This window comes from Homo sapiens, chromosome 4, assembly GCF_000001405.40.
Source record: "Homo sapiens chromosome 4, GRCh38.p14 Primary Assembly".
Lineage (NCBI taxonomy): Eukaryota > Metazoa > Chordata > Mammalia > Primates > Hominidae > Homo > Homo sapiens.
In genome coordinates this window covers 150,093,261-150,119,136 of record NC_000004.12, presented here as the reverse complement: position 1 = coordinate 150,119,136, position 25,876 = coordinate 150,093,261, and the positions used below count along the sequence as shown (strand labels likewise).

The window sequence follows — 25,876 nt, the reverse complement described above, 5'->3', positions numbered from 1 at the left end:
GATTACATGGAAAAACCATGCTATTTAAAAAGTATGTGCACAAATGTATGTAACTGCATTAACACAATTGTTATTATTATTATTATTATTATATTATTATTGTTATTTTGAGACAGAGCCTCACTCAACTGTTGTCGAGGCTGGAGTGCAGTGGCGTGATCTCAGCTCACTGCAACCTCCGCTTCTTGGGTTCAAGTGATTCTCCTGCCTCAGCCTCCCAAGTAGCTGAGAATTACAGGTGTCCACCACCATGCCCAGCTAATTTTTGTATTTTTAGTACAGATGGTGTTCCCATGTTGGCCAGGCTGGTCTCTAAATCCTGACCTCAAGTGATCAGGAGTTCATGACCAGCCTGGCCAGGAGGCCCACCTTAGCCTCCCAAAGTGCTAGGATTACAGGCATGAGCCACTGTGCCTGGCCAACAAAATTGTTATTATTGATCCCCTTTAAGAAGCAGAGTGGGATCAGGAAAGAAAGGCAGATGTGAACAGACTCTCAGTTTTCGTATTTCTGAATTGTTTACATTTTTCTAATGCAAATGTACTTGAGCATTTTTCTTGTACAGTATACATGTATACTGTATATGAAAATATGTATAGGAATAGTCAATTATAAAAATATAGCATTAAAATTGAAAGATTTTTTTCTGTATTTTCTAAATTTTCTGAAGCATCATATTCCCTAATTTTAAAAATTAAATCTATAAAATAACTCTAAGGGTCATCCTTTTGTCTAGTACTAATCACTCTTTAATCTACTTTTTCATTTTTCAGATCCTACTCAAAGTATAATTTTGCAACACAACTTATTACACAGGTTTTTTATCTGGTAAACACCAAGTGAAACTGCATCACTCTAAAACCTAAAACAATTTTTTTTTGAAATCACCTGATTAGCTTATTTGACCTGTCCCTCGTCATTACCATTGAAGCATCTCCCAGAGCCTGATCAGCTTATTTGACCTGTCCCTCATCATTACCATTGAAGCCTCTCCCAGAGCCTGATCATAGGGGCTTACAGGACAGCCAGGAAGAGTGTAGGGTCCAGAATCACACTTCCTGGGGATGAATCCTAGCTCCATCGCCAGTTGTGTAATTCTGAATAGGTACTTGAATTTTTTGGCCTCAATTTCCCCACTGTAAAATGGGAATTACAGTACCTAACTCTCAAAGTTGTAAGGATCAGTGGAGAATATGAATATACAATTTTTCCAAGATGGTGGATTGTTTGCATGCCTCTACCACGTGAAAAGACAAAATAGTGTGTGGTGATTCATGCTGTGAACTTTTTTCCAAGAAGCAACAGAGGAACTTAACATGAAAACTGAAAGAAACCACAGACCCTCTGAAAAAAGCAGTGGGCTGCAGCCTACACTATGAGCCAGGTGGAAAACTATAAGCACCTACCCAGTGCTGGAGCTGGTTTAGTGAGCAGTGGGGAATATATGAGAAGCAGTGGCATCAGGACGGGCTTTATATGCATTCCCAGACTCCAGCGGGGATGGAGGGAAGCCATTTCTGATCCCACCTCACAGGGGACCTTGCAGAAGTCGGCCAGCTAACTCAGACAGCAATCACAGGTTGAGAGAAGCTCCTAACTGAGATCTGCGATATAATCTTAAGGGGGGGATGAACCCCTTTGGCCAGAACCAAGGGGTGAGTGGGAAGTGTGCTGCAGCCATGAGCACAGGAGCTGGGCACCCCTGCTTCATGGGCAGACCAAGAAGGGCATAGCCTGAAAGCCCTGGTTTCCTTCTCCTCAAGGAAGGCTTATGGCCTGAGGCATTTTTGAGTTCTGAGCACAGATTGCCTGGAACCTAGCTAGCTGCTGCTAGTGGAACACTGCCTACGAGAGACCTGCCTTGCCAAGTGCGTGGGAGCTGGTGGGAATTACTGCCGTCTGCTATTCCCCACTCCCCAGGCAGATTCTTCTACACAGCAGATGCAGCTGCACTCCTCCCTGGACCATTACCCCAGTAGCCAGAGAACTGACCCCTGATCCCCACTGGGGCCACTGCTTGCACCTGCACATGAAAAACCAGAGTGCAGTCCTGCCTTATCCAGCCCCCACCTGGCATTGTCCCTCCACCCACCCTGGTAGCTTAACACAAAGAACAGAAACTTTTGGAAGCCTTATGGCACTGCCCATCGCCTAAGACACCAGAGTATCTCCCCTGGATAACATATGGCAAACACAAATCCCACCACCACCACCACAGCTGGCACTCTTTTGCACTCTGGGAGTCAACCAACATAGCCAATACATTACAGCATCTCCAGGTAGAAGAACACAGCACCCAGGAAGGGAAAAATGTATGTGTAACCTCACCTATCACCATGGCCTTCATCACCCTGGCTAACCAAGAGGCCCTGACTCTGTCCACATAACCAGTTCATTACTACTACAATCTGGCATTTGAGAAAGCCAACACACTAAGGCTATTTATAACCAAGGAATCTTAGAGTCTATGTCACTCCCCTGCCACCTCTATCAGCGCTGGTGCTGGTACCTGCTGCTGCGACACTTGAGGACCAGTCACATCACTGGATCCCTTGAAGACATTCCCTAGCACCAGCCTGGAGTACCCACTGGGTAGCTAGACCTAGAGGAGCAGCAGCATTCCTAGTGGTCTGATCCTCAGGGACTCCTACTTCTAGGGGAAGGACACATCACATGGGACAAAAGAATCCAAACACAGGCCTTGAGTCCCTGAACTTTCCGCTTGTGGGAAGTTTCAGCAGAGGCATAGGCGCAGTGCCGGGCTCAGCAGGGAAAGTCTGCACCTCTACCCCAACAGCCAGGAAGCCCTGGTGCTTGTGAAGGATCTTGGAGAAGGGAGTGCTTCTTCTCCCCCTCACCTACTGCTGAAGACACAGCAGGGGCTTCTCCCATGGGAGCTCAGCATGGATACATACACCTGTAGACAGCCCTTCTAGAACCCTTCAGGGTGACTGCATCCCCACAGGAGGAGTGCCCTCCAGGTTCAGGCTTGCACGAGGTATAAAGTCACAGTTCCTCTCTACATAGAACAGCAACATGCCTGCAGATGAAAAGAGGTGCCTGTCTGATCTGAATAGCTGAACACTGGGTCAGGAATGTAACTGGGAGGTGGATCACTTTCCTGCTGGTGTGGCAGGGAAGCAGAGTTGGCTCCCTCCCTTCCCTTTGAAAAGATTTCAGCAGTTTCACTGAGAGCTCCCCTGGCTACCTCCATCAAAGCTGGGACCTCTGTTCACCACTGGATATTACATTTACCCACCTGCTTTAGCCATGACCGGTTTTTAACCATGGATACTTCCCCTACTGGCCTGAAGTCTGAACTGTTCAACTGAGTAAACAAAATACTGCGGAAAATAAATTAATTAAAAACGGTACACCACTAGGGAATGAGATAAGCTTCAAGAGACCTCTGCCATTTCAATCCTACAGCAATCAACCTGGTCACACACCAAGCACATTGCTAATACAACCATCTGAGAAAGCCATCATACAAAGACTCTCTATAACCAAATAACTCATACAGTGTCTTCATCCCTGAAAGAACCAAGAGCCAAGTCAGGCTACAATAAACATTAAAGTCACATTCTCAAGGGAAAAAAAAACCCCACAAAAATAAACAACTGAAACAAAAATAAATTCAAGAAAAATTAGTCTAACCCAATGAAAAGGAACCAGAAAAATAATTCCGGCAACAAAACAGGGTTCTATAACACCTTCAAAAGATCACACTAGCTCTTCAGCAATGGATCCAAAATAAGATAAAATATTTGAAATACTAGATAAAGAATTCAAAAGGTTATTAGCTACACAAGGAGATACAAGAGAAAGGCAAAAACCAACAAAAAGAAATTTTAAAAACCACTTATGATATGAATGACAAATTTTGTAAAGAGATAGCTATTTTAAAGAAAGCCAATCAGAACTTCTGGAAATGAAAAACACATTTAGGGAATTACAAAATGCAGTGGAAACTTTTAACAGACTAAAGTAGAATAATTTCAGAATTCAAAAACAAGGCTTTCAAATGAATCCAACAAGGAAAAAGTAATTAAAAGAAATGAACAAAGCCTCCAGAAAATACAGGATTATATAAAATGGCCAAACTTAAGAACCATTGGTATACCAGAGGGAGAAGAGAAAGCAAAAAGGTTGGAAAACTTATTTGAAAGAATAATTAAGGAAAACTTCCCTGGCCTTGCTAGAGATTTAGATATCTAAATACAAGAAGCTCAAAGAACTCCTGGGGGATTCATCACAAAAAGGACATCACCAAGGCATACAGTCATCATGCTATCTAAAGTCAACACAAAGGAATGAATTCTAAGAGCAGTGAGACAAAAGCATCACGTAACCTATAAAGGACAACCTATCAGACTAATGGAAGACTTCTCAGCAGAAACCTTATAAGCCAAAAGGGAGTGGGGTCTTATTTTTAGCCTCCCTAAACAGAATAACTGTCAGCCAAGAATTTTGAATCCAGCAAAACTGTCATAAACGAAGGCAAAATAAAGTCTTTTTCAGAGAAGCAAATGCTAAGGAAATGTTACTACCAGACCAGCCTGCTAAAAGAAGTTCTAAATCTTGAAACAAAGGGTCAACACACCCCATAATAGAACCTCTTGACAGCATAAAACTCACAGGGCCTATAAAAAAATACCACGATGAAGAAAAGTATCTAAGTGATAATCAACATGACGACTGGAACAGTACCTTACATCTAGTAACAACAGTACCTTACTACTAGACCTAAGAAAAGAGATAGACAGCAACACAACAACAGTGGGAGAACGCAACACTCCACTAACAACACTAGACAGGTCATCAAGGCAGAACGTCAACAAGGAGACACTGGATTTAAGCTACACTCTAGAACATATGGACCTAACAGATATTTACAGAACATTCTATTCAATAACTACAGAATATACATTCTTCTAATAAGTACATGGAACATTCTCCAAGATAGACCATATGATAGGCCACCAAACAAATCTTAATAAATTAAAAAAAAATCAAAATTACTTCAAGTATCTTCTCAGACCACAATGGAATAAAACTAAAATTAACTACAAAAAGAACCCTCAAAACTATACAAATACACAGAAATTAAACAATCTTCTCCTGAATAATTTTTGAGTTAACACTGAAATCAAAATGGAAATTTAAAAATTCTTTGAAATGAGTAATAGTGACACAAGCTGTCAAAATCTCTGGGATACAGCAAAAGCAGTGCTAAGTGGAAAGTTTACAGAGCTAAATGCCTACATCAAAAAGTCTGAAAGATCACAAATTCACAACCTAATGTCACACCTCAAGGAACTAGAGAAATAAGAACTAAACCAAAAGCTAGCAGAAGAAAATAGAAAATAAAGATCAGAGCAAAACTAAATGAAACTGATATAAAAAAGACAATACAAAAGATCAATGAAAAAAAAAAAAGGTTGGTTCTTTGCAAAGATAAACAAAAATTAACCATTAGCTAGATTAACCAATAAAAGAGAGAAGATTCAAATACACTCAATTTGAAATGAAAATAGAAACATTACAACGGACACAACAAAAATAAAAATGATCATTCAAGACTACTATGAACATCTCTATGCATACAAACTTGGAAATCTAGAGGAAATGCACAAATTCCTGGAAACACACAACCCTACTAGCTTGAATCAGAAAGAAACAGAAAACCCTGAACAAACCAGTAACTAGTAGTGAGACTGAATCAAAATAATACAAAAACTGCCAACAACAACAAAAAAACCTAGGGCCAGATAGATTCACAGCCAAATTCTATCAAACATTCAAAGAGGAATTGGTACAAATCCTATTGAAACTATTCTAAAACACTGAGAAAGAGGGAATCCACCCTAACTCATTCCATTAACCCAGTACTAGCCTGATACCCAAACTAGAAAAGGACATAACAAAAAGGAAAACTACAGACCAATATCCCTGACGAACACAGATGCAAAAATCCTCAACAAAATACTAACTGAATCCAACAACACATCAAAAAGATAATTCAGGCTGGGCACAGTGGCTCACAGCTGTAATTCCCAGCACTTTGGGAGGCCGAAGCGAGCGGATCACCTGAGGTCAGGAATTAGAGACCAGTCTGGCCAACATGACAAAACTCTGTCTCTACTAAAAATACAAAAACTAGCCAGGTATGGTGGCATGCACCTGTAATTCCAGCTACTTGGGAGGCTGAGGCACGAGAATCTCTTGAACCCAGGAGGCAGTGGTTGCAGTGAGCCAAGATCACACCACTGCACTCCAGCCTGGGCAACAGAAAAAGACTCTGTCCGGGGCGGGGGGCGGGGAAAGAAAAAGATAATTCACCATGGTCAAGTGGGTTTCATCCCCAGGCATGCAGGGATAATTTAATAAATACAAGTCAATAAATGAGATACATCACATAAACAGAATTAAAAAAAAATATGAGCATCTCAATCGATGCAGAAAAAGCATTCAATAAAAGCCAGCATCCTTTTATGATAAAAAAAATAAAGAAAACCTCCAACAAACTAGGCATAGAAGGAACATACCTCAAAATAATAAAAGCCATTATCAGACAAACCCACAGCCAACATTATACTGAATGGAGAAAACTTGAAAGGATTCCTCCTAAGAACTGGAACAGGACAACAATGCCTACTTTTACCACTTCTATTCAATACAGTTACTGGAAGTCCTAGCCAAGGGCATCCAAACTGGAAAACAGGAAGTCAAACTATCTAAGTTTGCTGATGATATTATCATATACCTAGAAAACTGTAAAGATTTCTCTGCTCCTAAATTTGGTAAATAAATTAAGTCTCAGGTTACAAAGCACACAAATCAGTGGCACTGTTATACATCAACAATGACCAAGCTGAGAATCAAATCAAGACTCCAATCCTTTATACAATAGCTGCAAAAAATAAAATAAAATACCTAGGAATATGCTTAACAAAGGAGATGAGCGATCTCTAGAAGGAGAACTACAATACACTGCTGAAAGAAATCAAAGGTAACACAACAGATGGAAAAACATACCATGCTCATGGATTGGAAGAATATTATCATAATGATCATATGCCCAAAGCAATCTACAAATTCAACGCTATTTTTATGAAAATACCAATATCATTTTTTCACAGAATTAGAAAAAAGAATCCTAAAATTCATACGGAACCAAAAAAGAGCCAAGATAGCCAAAGCAATCCTAAGCAAAAAGAACAAATCTGGAGGCATCACATTACCTGACTTCAAATTATACTATAAGGCTACAGTTAGCAAATCAGGATGGTACTGGTATAATCAAACATAGATCAACACAACAGAATAGGGAGTCTAGAGATAAATTAAAATACTTAGAACCAACAGATCTTTGACAAAGCATACACTGGGGAAAGGAAACCCTTTTCAGTAAGTGGTGCTGGGAAGACTGGATAATCACATGTAGAAGAATGAAACTGGATTCCCTACCCCTTACCATATACAAAAATCAACTCAAGATGGATCAAAGACTTAAATCTAAGACTTGAAGCCATAAAAATTCTAGAAGGAAACCTAGGGAAAAGCTCTTCTGGACATTGGCCTAGGTAAAGAAATTGTGACTAAGACCCCAAAAGCAAATGCAAACAAAACAAAATAAATAAAATGAGACCTAATTAAACTAAGAAGCTTCTGCACAGCAAAAGCAATTATCAGAGTAAACAGACAACCTACACAACAGGAGAAAATATTTGCAAACTATGCATCCAACAAAGGACCAATACCCAGAATCTACAAGGAACTCAAATCATTGAGAAAAACAAATAATCCCATCAATAAGTGGGCAAATGACATAAATAGATATTTTTAAAAGAGATATACAAATGGCCAACAAAAATATTAAAAAATGCTCCACATCATTAATCATCTGGGAAATGCAAATTAAAACCACAATGACATACCTACCACCTTACTCCTACCAGAATGGCCATTATTAAAAAGTCAAAAAAAAATAGATGCTGATGTGGATGTAGTGAAGGGGAATACTTATACAATGCTTGTGGGAATGTATCTTAGTACAACCTCTATGGAAAACAGTACAAAGCCTTCTTAAAGAACTAAAAGTAGATCTACCATTTGATCCAACAACCTCACTACTGGGTATCTACACAAAGGAAAAGAAGCCATTATATCAAAAAGACACTGCATGTGTATGTTTATCATAGCACAATTCACAATTGCAAAGACATGGAACCAATCTAAGTGTCCATTAACCAATGAGTGGATAAAGAAAATGTGGTATATATACACCATGGAATACTACTCAGCCATAAAAAAGACTGAAATAATATCTTCTGCAGCAACCTGGATGGACCTAGAGGCCATTCTTCTACCTGTAGTAACTCAGGAATAGAAAACCAAATAGTGTATTTTCTCACTTTTAAGTGGGAACTAAGCTATGGGAACACAAAGGCATACAGGATGGTAAAAAGGACTTTAGAGACTCAGAAGTGGGGAGGGTGGAAGGGGGTAGGGGATTAAAAAACTACATATTGGGTACAATGTACACTACTCAGGTGACGGGCGCAATAAAATCTCAGACTTCACCACCATACAATTCATCCATGTAACCAAAAACCACTGTGTCCTAAAAGCTACTGAAATTCAAAAATGCACATATTAAAAAAAAAAGCACTAACATAATGCCTGGCATAGTAAGCTATTAGTTGTTATCTATTACCTAATTAAGCTGTTAGCTATTACTCTACACATTGTCAAATACATATGTAACAAAATTAATATTGTGATAACCATTATTATAATCCAAGAAAAATACATTTTATAACAAAATTTGGTAGTGCGTAAAATTTCAGCTTAATAACTAATTTTAACACTATCTTTATGCTGCATGCATTACTCCCCTTAGACATCAAATGAATAATTGAGGAAACAAGAGAGTTTGCAGTGATGTCATTTTTATCCCACCTACACTTTACATTGCATAATTTGTTGGAAGCTAAAATTGTTTCTCCTAAATATCTCTTCTAATTTGCAACTGACAGGATTTTAGTGTTTTCCTCCAGTTTCCCATTAAAAGGGAGAAAATATTTAAGGTCAAAGGAAATTGCTTTACAACGGATATCAAAATGCAAGCTTAAAAAGAAGAGGGATATCTAAACATTTCCTTCTTTCTTCACACTTTTCAGATTACTCTTTAAAAAGGGGTTCATCAAAAGTGAAGATTTAAGCCCTACCTCCCTCCACCTTTTGTTTTAATTTAAGGTAAGTCACCTTAGATCAGGAATCAAAGAACAAAATAACATTTTCCCTCCCTTTCTATACTTGCATTTCCTGCTGAACAGAAATATCCTACTAGTTGCTCTTAGTCTGTTGATTCTTGGTTGGGATAAATTTTCCATTGCTTGAGGCAGACCAGGGCTACCCACACTTTGCAAGTGCGAATGTATTTAGTAAGACAAAACTCAGTTGTCTAGATTTCTATCATCTACAAAAGGAAATGCAGCCAGGCATGGTGGCTCACGCCTGCAATCCCAGCACTTTGGGAGGCCGAGGCGGGCGGAACACGATGTCAGGAGATCGAGGCTATCCTGGCCAACATGGTGAAACCCTGTCTCTACAAAAAACACACAAAAAAATTAGCTGGGTGTAGTTGCACGTGCCTGTAATCTCAGCTACTCGGAAGGCTGAGGCAGGAGAATCGCTTGAACCAGGGAGGCAGAGACTGCAGTGAGCCGAGATCATGCCACTGCACTCCAGCCTGGCGACAGAGCCAGACTCCGTCTCAGAGAAAAAAAAAAAAAAGGGAAATGCATGCATTGGGAACAGGGTGAGAATTAAAACCAAATTCTGTCCTTACCTACTTTAAGGAAAAATTAAAACAAGGTTAAATAAATTGTAGAAAATGTTTATGAATACTTATCAACAATTTGACTTTTATGTAGCAATTTTTGAAAAGAGATTGCTTTATCTAAATATGGTTAGGTGATTCAAAACAAATGAACCTTCACTAGAAAATGTGATTCCAGAAAGGTAAAGTACAAAATAAATATTATTTATGTTATGGTAGCTATGAAATAGCTAAACTTTTTAAAAAGTGAAGATGGGAACCTTCATAAACTCTAATATGACTGATAAGAGCAGGCACTCCAAGGAGTTGCCATGTTCCCCAAAGAGGACCCGCTGCATGTGAGCATCCTAAGGCTGGCAGTGGTCCCAAAGTCTGGAAGTGTTTTACCCCTAAAGCATCAACTGCAAGCAATTTCTGGGTCTGTTTTGCCTCTGCCCATGACAAGAATCAACTTGTTCCAAAATTCCACAAAATATGTTTCTTTTATGTTGAAACTCTGCTGTTTCTGGGAAAGCTAAAAGCTAGAATTTTTTTTTACACATGTGGACAAAAGCTATATTTGGACCTTTTCATCTCTCAACAGAATACAGGCATTAAAAAAAATTCTCCTTGCTGTATTTTATTATGAGAATGTCACTCTTTCAAAAAATTTAAAAAGTAAATTTGTTTTCCTATACAATCCCTTTAACTTAAAAGTGCAAGAAGGTTTTATTTATTTTTATTTTATTTATTTTTTTAATTTTTTTGAGACAGAGTCTTGCTCTGTCGCCCAGGCTGAAGTGCAGTGGCGAGATCTCGGCTCACTGCAAGCTCCGCCTCCTGGGTTCATGCCATTCTCCTGCCTCAGCCTCCCGTGTAGCTGGGACTACAGGCGCCCACCACCACGCCCAGCTAATTTTTTTTGTATTTTTAGTAGAGACGGGGTTTCACTAAAACCCTGTTTCAGTGAAAACTAAAGGTCAGGAGATTGAGCCAGGATGGTCTCAATCTCCTGACCTCATGATCCACCCGCCTCAGCATCCCAAAGTGCTGGGATTACAGGCGTGAGCCACTGCGCCCGGCCAAGAAGGTTTTATTTTTAAAAACATTTAAGTGAAGCATTTAATCAAAATTAATTACAAGTTAAAATAAAATTACTTTAAGTGGAGAATAACCATGACTCCTCTTTACAGATCATGTTTTCTGGTCATCACATCTATAAACATAGGTTATATATTTTGTTTTTAGAAAATCAGTAACCATGATATCACTTTTAAGTACAGTACTTGAAAACTCATGAGATTAAATGATTCCTTACACTTCACATTCATTCATTTTTTGAGTCAGGATCTCACTCTGTCCCCAAGGCTGGCATGCAGTAGTGAGATCATAGCTCACTGCAGCCTCGAACTCCTGAGCTCAAGTAATCCTCCTGCCTCAGCCTCCCTAGTAACTGGGACTACAGGCAAACATCACCATGCCCAGCTAACCTTACACTTCACTTTCAATTCTCAGTAAAACCATTTGGGATGTCTTTATCTAATCCCCTGCAAAGCTGTACTACTCAGTCATATCTCAGCCTCACACAATGAAGACAAATAGATTTAAATCCAAGACAATAAAGACAACAAACTGGCTGGGTGTGCAGCATCTCATGCCTTTGTCCCAGTACTTTCAGAGGCCAAGGTAAGTGGATCGCTTGAGCCCAGGAGTTCAAGACCAGCCTGGGAAACACAGGGAAACCCAATTTCTACAAAAATACAAAAATTAGCCAGGCATGGTGTCATGTGCCTGTAGTCCCAGCTACTCAGGAACTTGAAGTGGGAGGATCACTTGAGCCCAGGAGGTCAAAGCTGCAGTAAGCCGAGATCGCCATTGCCCTTTAGCCTGGGTGACAGAGTGAGATTCTGTCTCCAAAAAAAAAAAAAAAAACAATAACCAAAAAAACCCTACAAACCATGACATTCTAACAATCTTGCATCAATCACATAAATAGATAAGAAATAGACAGAGAGACTATCAGGACTTCTAGAAATTCTGAAATAAAGCTTAGCATATGGCCTAATAACACAGTTAATATTTATTCAAACAAGCAGCACTTTCTTTTGAATCAGCTCACTTACTCTACACCAGGATTTCTGAATCTCAGCACTGTTAATATCTTGGACAAGAAAGGATGATGTCGTGGCTGTCCTGCACGTTGTAGGATGATGGGCACCATGCCCAGCTTCTACCCACCGGATGCCAGTGGAATCCCCAACCCCAGCTTCAACAATCAAAAAATGACTTCAGACAGTGCCATACATGCCCTAGGGACAAAACTGTCCCTGGTTGAGAATCACTGCTCTACACTAAAGAAAACCCAAGAATTAATACAGACAAAGTCCTAAATATGATTTTATTTGAAGTGATTTTATAAACAGACATAAAATTTAGTTAGTTTTAATAACGAAGTCAGACCTTGTAAATGGAGTCATTGCTAGTGGCAAGATGTGTTCACCCATTTTGAAGGAAGAAAAGATTCAAGGGACACTGTTTTAGCCCCATAAATGCTACTGGCACATGACACACCATCATGTCTTCAATCAGAAACATGTTCAAACTCAAAGGATAACCAGCCCCTTAAAACTCTCACACAGGTGTCATGATGCAGTCAGTGACTGTTCATGGTGAATTGCCTAAAAGTTATTTAATTTCTATCCTTGTGTTGACGATCAGGAAAATTTTAAATGAAAACAACCAATCTGGGTAGGAAGCAACCAGGAAAAAATAAAATTTAGGCAGACAGTTTACAATTTTGTACACAGACAACTTATCAACGGATCTTAGTTCCTTTCTCATTCCTTTCTCTTCATCTAAGGAAAGGTGTCCTTTCCTTGAGAATTCTCAGAATGCTGATAGTTTTACATACATGTAGAATTGCTTCTTGGCCTTTTGGCCAAGATCAAGCATGCATACCCATAGAAATTTTTTTATTAAAAAAAGATCAAAATGAGCACTGCTCATTTAAAGGTTTGCAGATGTCATAGTATCTTTATACTTATATCAACCAAAAACAGACTTGAAGTTTTGAAGATTAGCGAGTTCACCTATATAGTACAACATGGACTCAGCACTAAGAAAACTATAGCTTTTAAGAATACCCGGTTCGCTGAAAATGCAATATCCAATGTTGTGTTTATCAAAAATTAAATCTAATTTTTCCAAAGAAATATTTTACTTGAAAGTCTTAAAAGATCTTTTTTTGGCACATGAAAAAATAATTAACTCATAATGTGTATGAATTTCTAAAATCTGAGATCAGTCTTTTCTTTTTCAGTGCTTGAGTTTTTGTTTTTGAGCAGATATGAGGAAGTAGTAGTGGATATCAGAACAGCAAATATTCAATTTCTGATGGCAAGTATAATCTTGTTTCCTTCTGAATTAGCTTTAAAAAAATACTTCTGCTGCTACTTTTCTTTAACTGTACAAAGAATTGAAAACATATTACATGGAATTTGTTTCTTGCTTTTTCCATTTAACATTTTCTCATGTCTTTAAATATTACTCCAAACATAATTTTCAATGGCCAGTACATATGAATTCCATGGTAATATAACAACTATTTTCTACTTTCAATTTTTTGCTTTTATGCTGGGATGAAATTTTTATGTGTAATTATGTTTGCATGTCAGGTCATTTAGGATAAATTGCAAAAGTTAATATACTAGTTCAAATAGTAAGAACATCTGTATAGTTATACATATTAACAAAATGCTTTTCATAAAGCTTATGAATTTTACACTTCCATCACCATTTGAGAATACCAATTCACTGCATATTCAAAAACACTGAACATTTTCTTTAAGAGCTTGTCAGTTTTAAATATTAAAACATCTCACTTGTTTAATTCACCTTTTTGTGAAACAACATTTTTTAATGTTCACTAATTCTGTCTTTTCAAATTGTTTAGACTTTTATTCATCTTTTTCATTGTAGCATTTGTCTTTTTCATATTAAATTACTAAACTCAATATTAAAGCATATAAACCCTTGCTTGGCATCCAGAAATCTTTCATTTTTATGTTGTCCATTCAACCTTACACTTTGTGATTTTCCCATTACGTTATGCTTAGAAAATCTGTTCCCATTTCAACATAACTATTGACATACTTTTAGTCCTTTTGTTTCATTTTGACATCTATATTTCTAACACACCTGGAATTTATTTTTGGTGTGGTATGAGAATGATGATTTAGTATCTGGTAGCATGAAAGCCCATTAATTATTATTTCCAAAATTTTCCTATTTTTCCAGATTAAATTCAAAAATCATTTTGTTAGGTTCCCCATCTACCCCTCCTAAAAAGTCTCATTTAGATTCTTACTGAAATTCTAGTAAAATATAAATAAAAATCAGAAAGAATGTATAGAAGAATGTTGAATACTGGCGCCATCATCAGGCATCCTTATCTTGGACCTGTCATAGAAATACTTCCAGTGTTTATTTACTTTGTAATACATTGGCTTGTTGTTTCAGATAGAAATTTTTTTTTTAGTGTAATTTTAAAAAATCACCCATTTTTATTACTAAATATTTAACTGAATATAGAGTATTTTATCAAAGGCCTTTGCAACATCTGTTTGGGATTATGAATATGTGCTATTGTGCTTTATCCTATAGATCTCATGAATAAAGAAGTTTCTCAATAGTAAGCCATCCTTTAAATACCAGCATAAGTCCTATTCATCACACTGTATTGTTTTGAAATGTTGATTTTTAGTTGCATGTGCTTTAGTTAACATTTTTACATCTATAGTCTGGAACCTTTTTAAGGATAATTTTTTTGATAACTATTTAAATTTCAATGGTTACTATTTCAATTAGATATTTGAATTAGATGCTCGATTTTTTTTTTTTTTTTTTTTTTTTTTTTTAGGAGATGTGGTCTTTTTTGTCACCAGCACCCAGGTTGGAGTGCAGTGGCACAATCATAGCTCACTGCAGCCCGAAACTCCTGGGTTCAAAGGATCCTCCCACTTCAGCCTCCCAAGTAGCTGGAACTATAGGAGTGCACCACCACACCTGACCACAACTTCTTTTATTTCACCTATATTTTCCCTGAATGTCATTCATTTGGGGATTTCCAAACTTGAGCTCTAATTTTTCAAATCACATCTGTATTTACTGTTTATATGCCTTTTTCCCCTAAATTGGTGAGTTTAGATTTTTTTCTTTGGTTAGGTATCTTAAATTTTTGTCTCTATATGTGTCTTCCCTGTGCCCATCAAGAATCAACTATTTGATTTGTCAAATACCTTTTTCCTGTAGCCTAATTTATTTTTCCTTACTTGCAGAGTAAATCTTAAGGTGTTTTGTGTTGTACTGTGCTATTAACTAAATTATATGAAGTGTCTATCATCATTCACACATATTTGGGGGCAGGCGGCTATGAGGTACTATATACCTTATTAATTAATTAGAAATGTTATTCTAATTTTACCATAATCTACTGGAATCTTTAGAACGTATTTTTAAAAAATTGCTAATGTTTCAGCAAGCACTGTACTAACTAGATCTGGTCTTAGAAAATTGGAGACTAATTTGATTGTGTTTTTCCCAAAGACACTGCTCAATGTTTTATATTATTCATTCTCAGCACTTCAAGAGCAGAACACTTCAAAATAAATTAAGTATGTTACAGGGAAGAGGCAAAATGGAACAAAGAAACAAATTTAATTTTGGAAACTATAATTTTAATACAATGTAAATATAAACAATTTAACTTTATGGAATTTGGGGGAAAATACACTTCAGAAGCCAAGCTTCTTTTTAGCAATGATAATCTGATTGTAGCAAAATTCAACACTTACCTAACGGCTATTCATGTGTTTTTGCAATATGCCAACTTTTTTTGTCCCTTAGGTTCCCTGATACATTGTTGCCATAATTTTAATTGCTTTTTCCTGTGCAATTTTTCATTTTTCAAAAATGCTCACTAATTACCTCCATTGCTCCCTATGAAACTTTTACAGACATTCCTATAAAAGTACTTTCTTTTGAAATACATTTTCCCTATTATATGTAAGTGGGGAAGAAAAGGTTTTTCTAAGAATGTTAAATACTTTTAATTTTGACTCCTGTGATACCCAAGTCCATAATGACTTTACAAATCAACAGTTATTCATAAATAGATGACATGCCATTTAACGTAGGATGTCTCCTCAACTTATACTTTTCCCTCAGAAATTTACATTTTCCTTCCAATAACCAAAAGAAGTATATGATAGACTTCTCTATAATCACTTTTGAGGTACTTAAGTCGCTTACATTTTTCACAAAAATGGTTAATTTTACATACATACACACACACACACATACACACACACACACAATCTCAAGTATGACTCCCAGAAGGATTTCTAGCACACTACTAAATTTCTATTGTTGACTATGTAGCCACCATGGCACAGGGAGTTTAAAAGTCAGATGGAGAGCTGGGAGCTAGAAGCATCTTACCTGCTTTCCATCCAGGGTGCAGAGCCTCTTGACGACTCCTGAGTCTAGTTTAATGGCTTCGGTGATATCTGTTAAGACTTGTTCAAAGGAATGAGCAGTCTTTTTATTCAGAAGGATCCGCACGGCTTTTCTAGGCTTCACTCCACTTCGAATCACAGTCACTAACTTGGGTTTGATGAAATCTTTACTTTCTTTTACTTCACTTTTCACAGAGGAGGCAGCAGCCAGCGCTCGGGATGTCCCACCCTTGATGTTCACAGACCAGTTTGGATTAATATTTTTGGTGTAATCGACTTTACGAAATGGTTCATTGGATGCACACACGTAACTCTCACCTAAAAAGCAAAATTTGATTTTATTAGCATGATTATCTCTATCATAGAAGCATTTGGTCTAAAGAACAGATGCTGGAAACCCATTAAGTGAACCCTTAACCTTAGTGGGTTCACTAAAAGGGGATGTTCACCCTTTTCCTTTGGCATTCTCCCACCTTCCTTTCTTTTAAATAGTCTAGATTGGTTTTGAGAGAATAACAAGGATTACAGGGTGAGAAGCACTGGACCAAATATGTTGACCAAATGTGCCACCTTGGATAATTCATTTCTCCACATTTTGGTCCTCAGTATCATTAGCAATAAACTGAAGTGGATGAACCAGTTGAATTCTAAAGTACTTCCTGATTCCCCAAACCTCCTATTTACTAATTAGTTTTAGAAATCTCATTCTGGTAGAAATAATTATATCACAACATATTGCTATAAAGAAATACAAATATATTTCTTCCAATTATAGATTTCAGCCCTAATCAAAGAATAATCACAACATCTTCACATAGCTGACTCAATTATACTCAGGTACAAGGTCACTTATTAAATTAATGAAGCACCACAAACATTATGGAAGAGTTCTGGCAGCTAAAAGAAATATACCTCAGCTACTTTTCTTCTTACAGAATGTAAATTTAAAATAACTATTGTTTAAATATACGCTTTTCTGTATCTACTTAAATAGGAGAGGACCTGAAGTAGTTAAAATGATGTGTTCATTACTCATGAAACCTTCTGCTTAATTTTTATTAAGTACAACATAAGAGCTATATTATTTGCCAAGTGGCTTATTAATTCAATGTTTACTGATATTTTAAGTTCCAAAATTTCCAAAAATTATATGTTGAGATACCACAATTTTTCTTTTAGGAAAGTCAGAATCACCCAAGGTTTTTATACTCTTGACTTTTTGACATACAAGATAAGAGGGTTATACTAAGGTTTTTCTAAAAAGAATCCATTATTTTTTCACATATTCAGTATAACACTCATCGTTAACAATATTAACATGAACCTTAAATATTATAAATACTTAAAACAGAAGTAACCCAAATAGTGAAAGAGAATTCCCGAGAAAAACCTATTAATATCCATATTATATTTAACTATTATCATAATGTTCTTGAAATCCTGATTAATGGAGAATTGTACAGTCTCCGAAGGCACATGAATAATTCAGTGACAGATAAGGCATACAAGAAGATTTTATTTTTATTTAATTAATTTATTTATTTTGAGACAGGGTCTCTGTTGCCCAGGCTGAACTGCAGTGGCGCAATCATGGCTCACTGCAGCCTCAACCTCCTGGACTCAAGTGATTCTCCCACCTCAGCCTTCCAAGTAGCTGGGATTACAAGCACATGCCACTATGCCTGGCTAAATTTTTGTGTTTTTAGTAGAGACAGCGTTTTTATTATGTTGCCCAGGCTGGTCTTGAACTCCTGTGTTCAAGCGAGTCACCCACCTTGACCTCCCAAAGTGCTGGGATTATAAGGCATGAGCCACCATGCCTGGCCCCAAGAATGGCTTAAAAAGAGAAGCAATGTCTTCTATTTAAGGGTATAATTAGGGCACTGCCCAAGATAACTGGGGAACCAATCACAGGCTTTAACACCATTTCTACACCAGTAAAGTGAAATCTAGCCCAACCACCACCGTTTAGAGATTTTTCATCTCTGTAGGCTTATCTAAATCATTTTTCACAGTATGATCATCTGGGAAAATGTCATATAATTTCAAAAACAGTTATCAATTTAATAAAATATAACTATAACCACACATATGCATTAATGGGCAAAACAGAATTTTGCTTTAACTTTATAGAGAAAGTAACTCTCACATCAAAAAGCTCTTACTATTTTTATCTATCATAAAACTTTAATTCTATTTTCGATTCAAAATATAAGATGGAAGAGAAAAAAGAATCTTAGCAAAAGAAGGTAATTTTTTTTAAAAAGGGCAGGGATAAGTAGTAAGTCAGCTGGGGGAAAGCCTGTCCCAACATAAAGAGTAACAATGAAAAAAGAAACAAAACAAGAGCAGATTTCATATATCAGATTTCCTTGGTCAACCTGTTTCTACACAGTTGACATATCCACAAGGAGAGATGCTTCCTAAATTTCTCTGCATTTTGTTTCCTTACACAAGTTCAGAATGTTAGAATGAAGTAGGTAAAGGAAGCTCCTTAATTTGCTTTTGTGCAATTACAGATAAATTTTAATTCCTTCCCATTCTCCCTTCTTCCTTTCATAATGTTTCCATTAAAAATTTGTAGGCTGGGCATGGTGCCTCATGCCTGTAATCTCAGCACTTTGGAAGGCCAAGGCAAGAGGAATGCTTGAGGCCAGGAGTTCAAGACAGGTCTGGGCAACATAGCAAGATCCTGTCTCTACTAAAAATACAAAAATTAGCAGGACATGGTGGCACACATCTGTAGTCCCAGCTTCTCAGGAGGCTGAGACAGGAGGATCACTTGAGCTCAGGAGTTCAAGGCTACAGAGAGATATAATCTCACCACTGCACTTCAGTCTGGGCAACAGAGCAAGATCCTGTCCCCATAAAGCAAACAAACCAAACTTGTAGACTAGTTCCATCATAAACTTGTATTAAAGTTTTGAGGCAGGCTGGCAAATGCCTACAAGGTTAACAAATGCCTACAAGATAGGGCTCTCTACATCCATGGCAGACACAAATAACAGTTCAATAGCCTCACCCTCTTCTCTGCACCCATGGCCCTGTTTTCTTTAAGCCTAGACAACTCATTACAATGTACACTGAGTGCCTACTATGCACAAGCTCTCATGTTAGGTGCTGACACGGTATGAAACCCACTTTAGTAATCTTGGCATTCAACATTACAGCACATAGGTTCAGCACATGGTTTTAGTGTTTCTGTGTACTGGCCACACAAACCCCTAAAGTATAGATGTCATATACCTTGACGACAACAGCCATCAAGGTACCCAAGCTAGCTTGTCTTATAATGTCCCCATCCAAATCAAACAATCTGCAGATTGTAATTTTGTCTCTTATATAGATTTGCCTACAAGGAGAGAATATGCTGACAAAAGAACTTAAGATGTTGGTTCCCTGGGCAGTTAGTTACAACTCTCGATGTTAATCCATCAGGTTGAGTGCAACGGCCCATGCCTGTAATCCCAGCCCTTTGGGAGGCCGAAGAGGGAGGATCCCTTGTGCCCAGGAGTTCAAGCTCAGCCTGGGCAACACAGGGAGACCATGTCTCTACTAAAAAGAAATCAATAATCATTCTTGGTTAGATACTATGCACCTGCAAGATTGATTAGAAGCGATTAGCCTCCCCCTACACAGATTCTTGGTACTGTAGGGATTCTTGTTTAAGATTCGTGACTCCCTTGCCAACTTGTAGGTCTCCCATTTCTTCCATTCTCACAAGGACATAGCTGAAAAAGTACATCCTGCATCCTACAGTATTAAATCTTAATGTACCAATATAAAAATAACAGTGTGAGAGGCCAGGCACGGTGGCTCATGCCTGTAATCCCAGCACTTTGGGGAGCCGAGGGAGGTGGCTCACCTGAGGTCAGGAGTTTGAGACAGCCTGGCCAACACGGTGAAACTCCGTCTCTGCTAAAAATATAAAAATTAGCCGGGTGTGGTGGCGGGCGCCTGTAATCCCAGCTACTCAGTAGGCTGAGGCAGGAAAATCACCTGAACCCAGGAGGCAGAGATTGCAGTTAGCCAAGACCGTGCCACTGCACTCCAGCCTGGGTGACAAGAATGAGACTCTGCCAAAAAAAAAAAAAAAAGAAAAAGAAAAAACCCCACAGTATGAGAGACTTTGTTAAACTCTTGCCAACGTATGTTAAAACTGCCCTCACCAAAACAAAGTGACAGGTGCACTAAAATCTCAGACTTCACCACTAGACAATTCACCCATGTAACCATAAACCACTCGTACCCCAAAAGCTATTGAAATAAAAAATTAACAAAATAAAAATTAGAGTTCAACTAGGACCACGCATATGTATTTTTTTCATAAGTAGATAAAGCAGTCCCAGAACTGGGCTGACTCATAGCTAGACTTCAATGTTATTACAAGCTGGTCTGTCACTCAGAGTCAAGCCATTTTGTTCTTCTGTTAGACATAATCTCACAGACTATATCATACGAAGTCACTCTAAGACTTTATGATAAAGTGACACAAAAACAAGGTCACTGTGCAATCCACAATACCAAACATCCCCCTCTTGCACTAAGTGAGTGACTGCCATTTCTTTACCACCGTAGTTTTTTCCTCAATCTAGTCTGCCCTCCCTATAACTAAGATTTATAGAGGTATCCAATCATAGGATTGTCCTGCCTTCTGACAGCACCCAAGACAGAGTGAGCCCCCGTTTCCTTAGATCCTTCCTAATATTAATCAGCCAGAGCCCAAATGCTATGATAGGTTCTAACACCCTCTTACTAAGACACCACATGGTATCTTATAAGGTGTGTTCTTCTTCATTGGAACAAGTAATAAACCCAACTTGTTCAACTACATGTGTGTGCCCAGTGGTCTTTGGCTAAAGGGAATTTAGATACATATATCCATATTCATTCTCCTTTCCCTGCCTTCTCTCTCTTTCAAGTTCTTTGGCCATAAAACTGTAAAAAATTTAGGGGAAATCATTTTGCAAATCCCGATCATATGAGTACTATATACAAAGAGGGTTTTGGTTTCTGTATAGAAAGAGGAAAAACAGAAGCATAAGGTGGTTATAAAACTTAACTGTTTTCAGGCATGGTAATGGAACAGAAAGCATTCCTTCAATATCCTATAAGACTCTTTCCAGAGGCACAGCTATGGCTTTTTACCTTTGATGTCCATTCAAAGACACTTTGCATTACTGCATATATAGCAGGTTGACTCAGTGTTTACAATTATGTAATACAACTTGGTTGGGTATATGTTTAGAAGGCCGTTAACTTTCATCCTTACTCAACCAAATGAACTGCCTCTTATTCAAGAAGAAAGAGGTCATTAAAAGCTAGGTAATTCCAGCCAGGCACGGTAGCTCATGCCTGTAATCCCAGCATTTTGGGAGGCCAAGGTGGGCAGATCATTTCAGGCCAGGAGTTCCAGGCCAGCCTCACCAACATGGTAAAACCCTGTCTCTACTAAAAAATACAAAAATTAGCCACAAGTGGTGGTGCATGCCTGTAATCCCAGCTACCCGGAGGCTGAAACACTAGAATCGCTTGAACCCAGAAGGCGGAGGTTGCAGTACCACAGCACTCCAGCCTGGGTGACAGAGTGGGCGGGACTCTGTCTCAAAAAAAAAAAAAAAAAGGCTAGAAATTTCCAATTTCTCACTCTCTGCAAACCTTCATTCTTACACATTTATTTCCATCTGTGCCCATTTTTCGCACGTCCTTTTCCTTTCAGTGACAGAGTGCTCTCCTCCTATTCAAAGTTAAATCCCTCTAACAGGACGTGGGTCCTTCTCTCCTCCCATGCTGAGGTTTCAGAGCCATTCTTTCTCTCCTCTCCAGCCCTCTTTATAGGATTATACACAAGTGTGTCCCACCTTAAACACATGAACCGCCCAGCCCCACCCCATTCACTCTACTCTACCTAATGTGCTTTTGGCTTCCATTCACTGCCAGTCCTCATCTGTTTTTCCACTTCATCGCCCACTCTTTGCTTTTAAGCCACTGGAGCATCACTTGTGCTCCCTGGGCTCTGCTAGCTGAAATGTGGCTCGCCCCAGTTCCCAAGTACTTCTTACCTAACTGCCAAATGCAAAGCACATTTTCTGTCTAATTTCACTCAGTGTCTTCAGTGTCTTCTGAGGGCACTGGACACCAGTCCTAATCCTCTTCATGCAAATCCTTTTTTCCCTAGCATCTATGATCTCCCTTACCTTTACCTCACATTTCTTAGGTTGCTCCTTCTCAGTCTGCTTTTCAGGATCCTCTTTCCACACCCACCCAGGCATCCCTCATCCTCCTTAGACTTTCTCTGGGCAGCTGCATCTTTATCCATGGCTTCAACCACCATCTACACTCTGAGGAATCAAACATCGATGACATTTCTGGCCTAGATCTTTCTCGAGTTCAACCCACTAACAGAATATCCCTCTCTAGATATCTATGAATATCTCACATGCTACATATCTAAAACGAATTTCACTCTCCATTACTGCCACCCTGATCTCACACTCTCCTCTTCCTAAAGTCCCCAAAGTATTGAACGGAATAACCACTGTTCAGTCATCTAAGCAAAAACCAAGCTTCCTTCTTCACTGCCCTTCCCCCACATTCAACAAAATTGGCAGAACGGTTGACTTTGGTCTAAACCCCTCTGGAAACCAACTCCTTCTACCCTGCCTTCTCTCGTTTCTTCCCGGATTAGAGTAGTAAAGAGCCCCATGTCTGGGCCTCACCCTCCACACAGCTGTCACAAGTTTTTAAAAAATGTATATTTGATTTTCTTGTCTCTCTACTGCCCTTAGAACAAAGGCCAAACTCTTCAGCACATCACACACTTCCAGCCTCATTTCCCACCACTTCCCTGCAGGTTCCTACATTAGTGTCATATCAGCATGCTTGCAATTTCCTTTCAAACTTCTCATACCCTCTTTATTCTCATTCCTTCTTATACGCCGGAAATAACCTTCCTCCTCTCTCCTTGTCTCTCTTCCACTGACCCTTCAAGATTAAGCACCTCTGGCAAAGAGTTTAGTAAAGCAATAGGAACCTTCATACACTGAAAAGCTTTTAAATTGGTTAAATCACTTAGGAAAAACTGATTGGTTCAATCACTTAGGTTGGCATTATCTAGTGCTAAGTTAACAACACACATCCAATGACCCAGAAATACACTCTAGGAAAACAGCCTGGAGAAACTCATTCACATAGACACTCTATATACACACACATGTTCATAGGAGCATTGCTCAACAGCCAAAGATCAGAGTCGGCCCACATGTCCAACAAGAGAAAGGGTACACAGATTGTGGTGAGGTCACTAATGAACTACTACATACTAATGAAAATGAACAAATGAGAGCTATATGCAACAACTTGGATGAGTTTTATAAACAATGGTGAGCAAAAGATGACAAAAGAATATGTGTGCTATGATTTAATTCATACAGAGTTTGAAATGGAAAAAGTAAACTATATCGATTAGGGATGCCTTCATAGGCGGTAAAATCATGAAGAAAAGCAAGAGCCAGGCTGTTGTTGCCATGGGAGAGAGAAGACTTGTAAATGGGAAGGGACACAGGGAGAGCTTCTCAGATGCTGGCAATATTCTATTTCTTGACATGACTAGTAGTCACAAAGAGGTTCACTTCATAATTCTGGCTGCGTGTGTTTTATGAACTTTCTATAGGTATATTATAGTTGAAAAATAAAAATTATGTCACTCCTCACTCTTTTTGTACTGAGCTTACAATATATTAATTTCTCATAATTACAATTTATTTGTTTCTGCTAGTGGTTCTTAGTGGAGAATTTCTTTAAAAATCAGGTGATTTTGTTGCATAAGTACAGACACCCAAGCCTCACCCCAGTTCAACTAAGCCAATCACTGGAAAGTGAGAGTGAACTGAACATGTGGGTAAGGTGTTTTGATTTCACAAATGACTCTGAAAACAGTCCCTGGTTACAAGCCACTGTCTAGACTAGAAGCTCCCTCAAAAAACTGACTGTACCTTCTTCATATTACCAACACCTAGTACAGGACCTGGAATACAACAGGCACTTAAAACATGTTTGTCAAAGTAATGAAGAAAATGCGTATTTCCAAAACAGACTTACACATTTCATGGTTTGCATTTGCATTGCATCCAGGCAAAATAAGCACATAGTGTTACAGTTTACTTAGAATGACTTTGGGAGGCTCAGGGTCAGGCTCCTGAAGGGCCTCATGCATGGTCTGAGACACTCGTAGGTCATGTCAGTCCATCAAAAGTCAACTGAAGGCATCTACGGGCACTAGCAGGAGATGAAGACACCAAGTACCTACCAGTATCTTTTCCATTTCAGACCATTAAAACACCAAGAGTCCAAGCGCACTTTGTAGTCTAATGAATGTGATATGCCTTTTAATCAATGGAATATGTATTTACATACTCTTTTTTAAACAGTTGAAGCACAGTAATCTCTCTACATTTAAAATCTCCACTGTTAGATATTAACCCCTTGTCAGACATGTTATCTGCAAACATTTTCTCTCATTCTGTAGGTTGCCTTTTCACTCTGTTGATTTGTTTCTTTTGCTGTGTAGAAGCTTTTTAGTTTGATGTAGTCCCACTTGTCTATTTTTACATTTGTTGCTGGTACTTTTGGTGTGATACTTGAGAAATCATTGCCAAGACTAATGTCATGAAACTTTTCCCTTATGTTTTCCTTCTAGGAGTTTCAGATCTTATATTTAAATTTTTAAATTATTTTGAGTTGGTTTTTATGTATAAGGTTCCAGGTTTCAGTTTCATTCTTATGCATGTGGATATCCAGTTTTCCCAACACCATTTGTTGAAGAATCTGTCCTTTCCCCATTGTGTATTCTTGGCAACCCTGTTGAAGATACAGCTGACCATACATATTTGAGTTTATTTCTAAGCTCTTGGTTCTGTTACATTGTTCCATGTGTCTGTTTTTATGATAGTATCATAATGTTTTAATTACTGTGTCTTTGTAATATATTTTGGAATCAGGAAATGTAATGCCTTTAGTTTTGTTCTTTTTTCTCAAGATTGATTTGGCTATTTGGATATTTTGTGGTTCTGCATGAATCTTAGGTTGTTTTTCTATTTCTGTAAAAAATGCCATTGAGGCTGGGCGTGGTTTATGCCTGTAATCCCAGCACTTTGGGAGCCCAAGGTGGGTGGATTGCTTGTGGCCAAGATTTCGAGACTAGCCTGGCCAACATGGCAAAACTCTGTCTCTACTAAAAATACAAAAATTAGCCAGGTATGGTGGCACAAGCCTGTAATTCCAGCTACTCGTGAGACTGAGGCACGAGAATAGCTTAAACACAGGAGGTGGAGGTTGCAGTAAGCCAAGATGGCACCACTGCACTCCAACCTGGGGCAACAGGGCAAGACTCCGTCTCAATAAATAAATAAATATGTCATTGGGATTTTCATAATTGCATTGAATCTGTAAATCACTTTGGGAAATGTGGGAATTTTAACAATATTAAATCTTCCAATTCATGAACACAGGATGTCTATCCATGTATTTGTGTATT

At 38.3% G+C, this 25,876-nt stretch overlaps 1 protein-coding gene across 13 annotated transcripts in view; it reads right to left on the bottom strand.

Annotated features, from left to right (window-relative positions):
- The window catches only part of DCLK2 (doublecortin like kinase 2), a 178,994-nt gene that overhangs the window by 138,302 nt on the left and 14,816 nt on the right, over positions 1-25,876 (bottom strand). For all 13 annotated transcript variants that reach the window (XR_007096380.1, NR_036614.2, XM_017007832.3 and 10 more), the window contains exon 2: positions 16,325-16,659. Coding sequence is in view for 11 of the 13 variants with exons in the window: in XM_017007832.3 (XP_016863321.1) it covers positions 16,325-16,659 (335 nt within the window). In the remaining 2 variants the exon portion in view is untranslated. The remainder of the gene's footprint in view (positions 1-16,324; positions 16,660-25,876) is intronic.